Consider the following 9,594-nt stretch of genomic DNA (forward strand, 5'->3'; position numbering starts at 1 on the left):
AGTTTAGATGACACCTAAAATTAACCATCGCACTAACGCTTTATGCGGTCAATATTTTAATAATTTTGAAACATTTTGATGTGTGTCTACAGACACCTCATTGTGGTGTTTTTTGGGGTTTTTTGTTTTTGTTTTGGTTTTGTTTGTTTTTTTTTTTTTGAGATGGAGTCTCACTCTGTTGCTCAGGCTGGAGTGCAGTGGCGTGATCTCAGCTCACGGCAACCTATGCCTCCCAGGTTCAAGCGATTCTCCTGCCTCAGCCTCCTGAGTAGCTGGGACTACAGGCGTGTGCCACCACCCCCAGCTAACTTTTTGTATTTTTTTAGTAGAGACGGGGTTTCACCATGTTAGCCGGGATGGTCTCAATCTCCTGACCTCGTGATCCGCCTGCCTCAGCCTCTCAAAGTGCTGGGATTGCAGGCATGAGCCACCGCGCCAGGCCTCATTGTGGTTTTAATTTGCATTTCCTTGATGAGTGATGGAGTCGAATACTTTTTCCTATGTTATTGGCCATTTGGATATTGTCTTCTGTGTTTATTCAAGACTTTGTAATGTTTCTTTGCGGTCATCTACCCTTTCCTTATTAATTTGTAGGAATTCTTTATATATTTTAGATACGAATCCTTTGTTAGGAAATGTATTGCAAGTAACTTCTCCCACTTTGTGGCTTGCATTTTTATTTTCTTAGTTGCGACTTTTGATTAACAGAAGTTATATATACACTTTTTTTTTTTTTTTGCAAATGCAGGGCGCCATGATATTCTACACACATGGGGATATGGGGGTGCCGCCATGTTGCCAGGCACATGTGAGGGCAAGGAAGAGGGTGAGAATCGCCATGTTTGGGTGGACCCATTTTCTAATGGCCAGCATTTATTTGCATATCAGAGGTTGCCGGCCTAGCTCTAAGAGCCGGAGCTTTCCTGCTAGATAAGAAACTTTTCTTTAGCTGCTTTAAAAGAAACAAAAACTTTCCAAGGACCGCTTTCCCTATCTGCCTAAAATAATTTCTTATTAACTCCTATAACATTATGATGTTCACACGATGATGAAATTGCCTTCACATTTCTCATAACATATCCCCACTGTTAAGTGACACACAACTGTACCATGTGTGTTCCTTATTTTGTCTATTTCCCCCACTAGAACGCAACCTCTTTCTCTGACAGCCAAGGTTTTTGTCTTCTTGGCTCTCTGCTGTCCCCTCAGTGTCTAGCATAGATGCCCGAGTGAGGCTTATGATGTTGTGAGTGTTCATGAGTGTTCAATGAGATCATGTCTGTAAGGCAGCAGGAACAGTGCCCAAAGGCCAGGAGAGCCTCAGGACCTGGTGGTGTCTGCCATCATTGTTCTGACGGTGGGGAGGTGGCAGGTGACTTCTCTGTGCCTCACAATCTGTCCAGGGCCGTGCTGGGGTCTGTCCACCATCAAGGGCCTCTGCAAGAATAAAGAAGTGAGGTGCCTTATGTGAGCCCTTCAGGCACTGAAGCTTCCAGAGGGCCCCCTCCCTACCATGACACCGGGCTCCACCCCCAGCGCTCCCCAGGACAGGGCTTGAACGCTCCCACGGATCGCAGCAGGCCCCTCCGCTCCTGTCTGGCACCTCATTATCAGAAAGATGTGGACCCACTGGAGCGAGTTCAGAGAAGCGCAGCAGCCCCAGGGAGGCGAGGTCGCGGGCTGATTTACGAGGCAAGGCTGGAGGGGGATCACGAGAGCAGAAGACACCCTGGGAGAGCAACTATGAGATGTGTGCGGCTGGCGTGGGGTGGGTGTTTCTTGAAACATTCCAGGATGAAACAAAGGAGAGAAGCTTTGAGACTGGCTGTGGCGGGAGGTGTCCCTGACAAGGAAAGCCTCACATCAGCAGAACATTCTTTCCACAGGAGAGTGGGAGGCTACTATTTAGAAAGCAACAAATTAGACAAGATCCAGCACGGTGAACTGTGATTGATGAAACTCCCTGAACCAGCCTGGATAGGATATCTTTGGTCTCTAGGACACTCAAGACATTGCCAAGGATCCATGATCTTGTCATCCTCATCCTGTCAGGCTCAAAGAGCAACGAGGGGAGCATATTTAACTTGCTCAAATGAAAATAAACATGGACAAGTCAGGGAAAGGGTTGGGGAGAATTCTGGAGTGTTTACACATGACGATCTGCTAGGCCATGCCTCTCAATAAACCTATGCCTTAGAGAAAGGTTTTTCAGCCTCAGAGTTCTTGACATTTTGGGCCAGATCATTCTTTGTTTTATGGTGGCTGTCCCGTGCATTGGAGGATATTTTGCGGCATCTCTGCCTCTACCCACCAGATGCCAGGAGCCTTCTACACCAGTCATAATAAAAATGTCTCCAGACATTGCTACAGGTCCCCCTTGGGGGCAAAATCACCTCTGGTTGAGAACCACTGCCCCGGGTGAGCTGAGCATGAGAATCTGCTCTCTGTTCTGTCTGTCTTGAAACTCAAGGCTTTGACATGTTGTGAGCATCTTGCCATACTGAACATGTTTCAGAGATATTTCTTCTACTGCGCAGCTTGTGGATGTAATCCAGACACCCTGGGGTGAAGAAAAAGCTACCCCATGTTGGGCTTATTGAGAGATGATCTTACATGGAGACTTCCAGAACACTTTTTTTTTTTTTTTGTAGAGATGGGGTCTGGCTACATTGCCCAGGCTGGTCTCCAACTCCTGGCCTTAAGTGAACCTCCCACCTGGACCTCCCTAAGTGCTGGGATTACAGGCGTGAGCCACTGCACCCTCCCCCTGGAGCATTTTTCAAGGATCTCTTTGACTCTGTATGACTTTCATCTTATCCTCTAACTATAGAGCCTGATTTGTAAGTAGGGCGCTCTCCATCATAATAATCTTTGGCCACTCCTGGGATCATAAGAAAGACTGATGGATTTCAAAGTATTTGGAAAATAGAGGCAGGCAAATTGCTGTTCTTGAGAAGGGAGGTGTTGACAATTGTGCTAAGAGTGGAAGCGTGGCATAGAGGTTATGATCCCTGAAACTCATGTGGACAATGAATGCCTCGAGATAAAGGGTCAGCTGCTATAGCCAAGAGACCAAACACATGGTGCCTGAAGGAAGATAGATGTTTATTTCTCTCTCATGTAATGGTCTCCACATTGGAGGACTGTTTCTGCTAAATAAATCAGAGCATTGACCCTCACTGGCAAGGACCCAGGTGTCTGTCTTGTGATTTCATCATCTCCTAGGGTGTTGCCTTTGGCTGCAAAGCTGGGGCCAGGTCGTGAGATGTCATTGAAGGGAAAAAGAGAGAGCGTCTGGGACAGCAAATTCCTCTTGAGCAAGTGAGGCAGAAGTGGCATCTGTCTCTCTGAAAAGAACTTGGTTATATGGCCACACCCAGTCACATGGAAGGCTGGGGAGGGTAGACTTTACCTGTGTGGTCAAGTACTCGGGAAGTAGGGGAAAACAGGCCAGAGGAGGAAAGCAATGTCTACCGAACAAGAAATTCAAGTTCGAATCCTAAAGTAAAACACCCTTCAGCAAAGGACTAATCCATTTTTCACAGTCTCTCTAGATTGTATTTGATCTCCTCGAACTCCCTGCATGTCCCTGGATTTTGGGCCAAAGACTGTTTAAAGACAGGCATTCTGTCACTCCCAAAACACACTCCTGAGGGAGAGTCAGTTAAGCCATCTCAGGATAGGGGTTGCTTGAAAGCAGATGGGGGATGGCCCGAATTTTTGGTAGGTCCTCAGGGGCCTCCCTTGCTATGCTGGGATGTGGCCAAAATCACCTTATGGCTTTTGGGGGTTGTCAACAATGGGCAGACCAACATTTTCCTACTTCCCTGAAGAATTTCTGTGCTGGAGGAATTATCCTCCCAGCCTGGGGGCAAAGCTAACTGCATAACCAAAAGGCTCATGGAAAATAGTAGAAAAAGAACAAAAGTGGTCAGGTAAGGTGGCTCAGGCCTATAATCCCAGCACTTTGGGGGGCCAAGGCAGACAGATCACCTGAGGTTAGGAGTTCAAGACCAGCCTGGCTGATGCAGCGAAACTTCATCGCTACTAAAAATACAGAGTAGCTGGGTGTGGTGGTGTGCGCCTGTAATCCTAGCTACTCAGGAGGCTGAGGCAGGAGAATCACTTGAGCCTGGGAAGCAGAGGTTGCAGTGAGATAAGATTGTGTCACTGCAGTCCAGCCTGGGTGACAGTGAGACTCTGCCTCAAAAAAAAAAAAAAAAGTTTGGGAGGCCAAGGAGGGTGGATCATCTGAAGTCAGGTGTTTGAGACCAGCCTGGTCAACATGGTGAAACCCTGTCTCTATTAAAAACACACAAAATTAGCTGGGCATGGTGGCAGGTGACTGCAGTCCCAGCTACTTAGGAGGGTAAGGCAGGAGAATCACTTGAACTCAGGAGGTAGAGGCTGCAGCGAGCCGAGATTGCACCACTGCACTCCAGCCTGGGCGGCAGAGTGAAACTCCTTCAAAAAAAAAAACAAGCTAATTGAAAAGGAACAAGAGAGCCTCCTCTTGCCCTTGGTTTTTGGTCCAGGTTCTTGAGCAGAGTCCTGGGACCGGTGCCTGGACAGGACTAGGAAGGGAACAAAAATGAGCCCCTTCCTTTCCCACCTCCTAGACAACCTCAGGAAGGGCTAACCAAAGGAAAGAGACTGGGAGGGGACAGAGGACAGGTCAGAGGTGAGGGGGGGTGAGGGAGGGGTAACCGAGGGCTGCATGCCCTGCCCCTGATACTTGTTTTTCCTATGGGGAAATCTGATCCCAGTTCAACCCACCACCAAGATTCCCTGAACTCAGGTGAAGTAAGATGCCAGGCAGCCTATTTGACATGTACACAAAGCCAGCCCGACTCCCCAGTCATCTGCTGTTGGAAGTACCCAAAAGGACAGCTGCATGGGAGCTCTGCTGGTCGTCTGACACTTGTCACAAGCCCAGGGTGTGGGGAAAGGGTGGATTAACCACAGGAAGCCTGGCACAGCCAGAACACCCCTGGATCCTCTATCTGGGGAGAGTGTCTGGTTACCACGCGCAAATGATATGCAGAATTTCTCATGCCTGTAGAGTTTGCCGTGGTTCTCTGTTCTTAGGGGGGCTTTTGCGGTTAGCAGATGTGGCTGCATGGTAGAGTTTTATCAAATCACCGTGGCCTAATCCAAACACCAAGAAATTCTGATTTCATTGGTCTGGAGGAACACAAACAGCAGTCTTTCTGAATGTGCCTCCAGGACTAAGACCCACTGACATGTGGGATCTCAAGTGATCTTCCAGTTACCCCACTGAGAAAAGGGGGACGTTTTATGGATAAGGAAACAGTCTCAGAAAATGAGATGACTTGCTGAAGATTATGTGCAGACAGGTCAGTAGATTCTCTTGTCCAGAAACCACAACGTAATTGTCTCTTGGAGGAAAAAAAATAATGTTTTTAAAAGTGGATTCATAGGTTGTGTGGTGTCAACAGATACTGTGATTTTATTTGACTCTTACAAAGTGAGGGAAGGAAAGCCATCTGAGTATCTGGGACCCCACCTGCATTCTCCATGTGTCGTGCTCAGATGCGGGAGAGTAAGGAACATTCAGCCAGTGATTGACATGTGTTTCCAATGCATGAACATTTGTTCCACATGTTTTTGGGCTCTCCAGGAAGCTCAGCCATCAGATATTCATGTCTCATTTTTTTTTTTCTTGTCGGGCACAAGACAAGGGCTCCCTCCACGTTGGAGAATTCTACTCTCCCGTGGCTACCCTTGATCACTCACTGCCGCCTTCCTCGAGAAAATATCACCCCAGGGCCTGAAATCAAGCTGTCTAGTGCAGAGCCTGGAACGTCTGAATCTCAAAGACAGGCTTGAACTAGAATTTCTGGCTTGAGACGTCTTGAGGCCTGTGGAGAACTAGTACAAGAGTAATCTTGTATTGAAGAATAAATTTGTAACGCTGCAACAAGACCCTCATGAGGTTTGGGGATCCTGACTTGTAAACGGGGCTCTTCTCGCAGCTGCCTAAGGATGTTTAGGGTGCGCATCCACGACTCCCAGGATGGGAGAAAGAGTTAAGCTAAGGGACACTGTTGCCTTTGGTGTGGTAATGGAAGTGCAACTGTTGTGTACATGCATGATTCCTCCCACGTGCAGCACACATAGTATACATACATCCAACACACGTGACACCCAGAATATGTACACTCCACACACGCTCACACAACACCTGCATACACAACACACACATGCAACACACAAAATTCACAGTGCATGTGCACATAATTCAAGTTCACACAACTCCTGTATACACAACACACATGTAGCACACACAACACTCAATGTGCACTCAATGCAAGCTTACAACACACATGACACATGCATGCACACCACACACACGTGCAATACACAAAATTCACAATACGTGTTCACTCAACACATGTATATACACACCACACAGGACATACCATACATGTGCACACAACACAAGTTCACACAACCCACATAGCACATGCATATGCTTCACACACACATGCAACACACAGGACACACAGCACATGTGCACTCAGTGCAAGCTCACACAACACACACAACACATGCATATACACCGTACACACATGCAACACAAGCAACACAGTACATGTGTACTCAGCATACACCCAAGCCGGCTTCTTAGGGACCTCACTGAGCACTTCCAATAACCAGCCAGCAGGGGACAGCATTGCAAAGGCTTTGCAGGACAGGCGAGCTCCCTCAGGAGGCAACAAGTGTCAAAGATTCATCAACTTTACAATCTACATCCAGTGCCTACTATGTGCCAGTCATTTTGCTAGGTGCTTCCAGCCATGATAAAAACGGAAATGTCTCTTCCTTCAAGACTAAGCTTCCTTCAAAAACTCGAGAGGTGGAAGATGGCGTGGGAGTAAGGGGTTGCAACCGAGAACCACCACGTGGCCACCTGGCTCCGAGGCTGGGCTTGGGTAGGAGAGTCGCTGCCTTGGATCTAGCTCTGCCACTTAGTTTCTGCCCCTTTACTGTAACATGAAGTGGCTGCTACAGCAGCACTGTCTCGCAGAAATACGGTGTGAGCTGCACATGCGATCCAAACTAAATTCTTTAATCACGCCATTAAAAACGGGAGAAGGAAGCAGGTGAAATTAATTTTACTCGTATGTTTTATTTAACCCAGTATATCAAAAATAGTAATATATAGGGCCAGGCGAGGTGTCTCATGCCTGTAATCCCAGCACTTTGGGAGGCCGAGGCGGACGAATCACCTGAGGTCGGGAGTTCGAGACCAGCCTGGCCAACATGGTGAAACCCCATCTCTACTAAAAATACAAATCTACTAAACATACCAAAAAAAAAAAAATAGCCAGGCATGGTGGCGGGCATCTGTAGTTCCAGCTACTAGGGAGGCTGAGGGAGAAGAATCGCTTGAACCTGGGAGGCAGAGGTTGCAGTGAACAGAGATTGCTCTACTGCACTCCAGCCTGGGCAACAGGGCAAGACTCCATCTCAAAAAAACAAAACAAAACAAAACAAAATAGTAATACATATATTCACTGTGTAATATAAAAAGATTGAGCTAATTTACATTCACTTTCTGTACGAAGTCTGGGTGTATTCTACGTTCACAGCATGTCTCAATTCGGACCGCCTGCACTCCCTGCGCTCAATTGCCACCTGTGGCCGGGGCTTGCAGTATTGAACAGCCATCCAACTAGAGTTTTCAGGCCTTGCAGGGTGTTAGAATCACCTGGGTGGCGGGGGAGTGGCTATGAAAAAATTTCTTGTGCCCAAAACAACAAACAAATGCAGTGCTCGGGCCCTACTATATTAATTCTAGTCTGTCTGAGAGCCTGAGGCTGTCACCCAAATACCAAATGTCAGCCTAGCCCATTTGCTTTCCCTTTTCCAGTGTGCACCTCCTTCCTTCACATCACATCACACACACACACACACACACACACACACACACACACACAGTTTGGAGTCTGAAATTAGGAGGATCACTTGAGCCCACGAGACAGAGGTTGCAGTGTGCCAAGATCACACCACTGCACTCCAGCCTGGGCAACAGAGTGAGACTCTGTCTCAACAACAACAACAAAAAATCCAAACCACAACATAAAACAGAGGGATAAACAGAAGAGACAGTCGTGCTGTTCTGCATCTCTTGGTTGCTGGACCCTGTAGGTCCCACAACCTTTGCTGACATCCCTCAGAGAAGCTCCATCACTTTGTCCTCCTGCCCCCAGCAGATGCCAAGCCCCAGAAGGGCCCCTCCTCTTGTCACTGTCCCTCCAGGTCTGGCAGAGCCAGTTCCTTTGTCGGTGAGGAAGCTGTGATCTTGGGAGCAGTGGCCCTTTCCTCTCTGGGTGGAACACGGAGCTCAGCCTCTGCCCTCCCTCTCTCTGCTCCTCTTTGTCACCTTCCACTCACAGGCCTGGGAAAAGGACCCTCAGGGCTCCTTGCCTGCAGTCCTTTTGGTTGGCAGGAGCTGCTGATTGGCATGGGCTGACAGCTTTCCCGAGGGGGATGTCTGGAGGCCACCAGCTGCCTCCACACACAGGTGCCCAGGTGTGTGGCTGCTTCAGCTCCAGCAGCCACCGCCTTTCTGGGGAAAATCTATGCAGGACTAAGGGCTGAGGGAAAGCCCTATGTACTTTGGGACCCCAGGACAAGAGGATAATTGTGCAAAATCCCATTGACATCACTTTCTCTCTGTAGGGAGCTGCAGATTAATGGTAAAAAAAAAAAAACAAAAAAAAAACACTAATGAGCAAAGTAACTCCTAGTTACCCCATCCAGGTTGGGGAAGAGAAGTTTGGAGACACTAGTGTCTCTAGTTATGTAGCATTTATTTTCTAGATCTAAGCGTCTACTGTTCCATGGTATTAGCTGTCCTTGGAAGCATCCCTAACCTTCCCAACCCTCTGTTACTTCATCTGCAAAATAGGAATACCTGATGTGCCTGGCTCTCAGAGTTGTTGTAAAAACGGAAAGAAAACAGCAGCTGAAAATTGTCAAGGACTGTGACAGGGCTGAGGTTTTTACCCCATTTGTCAGGTTACAAGTGGGCCTGCCAGTTTCATGAATGGGGATAGAAGACACAAGACTCCTGGGTCAGAGCCAAGGGAATTTATTACTCACTGCAACAGCAGTAGCCAGAGTCTCGGCATTTTCTTGTGTGGGATCCGTAGACTCCAATACCCAGAGCGCGATGTGAAGAGGCCGGGTGAGACGGTCACACCAGGCAGGAACCTGAGTTTAGGAAAGTCACTTATTTTTAGTATGAGTAGGAAGCCTGCCTGACCTTTGTCCCTGAGAGAGACATTATCTTTATTCTACTGGGCAGTAAACAAACCTGCCCTTTCCTCTGGAGACAGAGACACTGACTGTATCTTCCCAGGCTGCTCTCTGCACAAACACCCTTGGAAAGCTAGTCCGGAACAAAAGCGGTCCGTGTCTCTCTTGGCAAAACAGGCTTCTGCCTTTCCAGGCAAAAGACCCGTGGAGAATTTTCTCCCCACCAAGCACTATTGAGAAAGTGCAAGTGCTATGCATGTGTAAAGTACTTTAACCTCATTTACCCTAACAATTGCCCTGTGAGGT

At 47.8% G+C, this 9,594-nt stretch overlaps 1 long non-coding RNA gene across 1 annotated transcript, besides 1 other annotated feature; it reads right to left on the reverse strand.

The window, feature by feature from the left end:
• Nucleotides 1–660: 660 nt before the first annotated feature.
• LOC107984218 (uncharacterized) lies at nt 661–9,245 on the reverse strand. Its single transcript, XR_001747403.2, has 2 exons — nt 9,133–9,245; nt 661–1,437 (listed from the first exon to the last, which is right to left on the reverse strand). It is a non-coding gene; the product is annotated as an uncharacterized LOC107984218 (long non-coding RNA).
• Nucleotides 6,389–6,577: a silencer, noted in NCBI's record as "fragment chr10:30287145-30287333 (GRCh37/hg19 assembly coordinates)". NCBI's record gives its function as "represses an EF-1alpha promoter that drives an FKBP-Casp9 reporter gene in an ReSE screen in phorbol 12-myristate 13-acetate-treated (for megakaryocytic differentiation) K562 erythroleukemia cells {active_cell/tissue: K562(+PMA)}" and the evidence as "EXISTENCE:reporter gene assay evidence [ECO:0000049][PMID:32094911]".
• Nucleotides 9,246–9,594: the final 349 nt, after the last annotated feature.

The sequence above is a fragment of the Homo sapiens genome, chromosome 10 (assembly GCF_000001405.40).
Source record: "Homo sapiens chromosome 10, GRCh38.p14 Primary Assembly".
In the NCBI taxonomy this organism is placed as follows: Eukaryota; Metazoa; Chordata; class Mammalia; order Primates; family Hominidae; genus Homo; species Homo sapiens.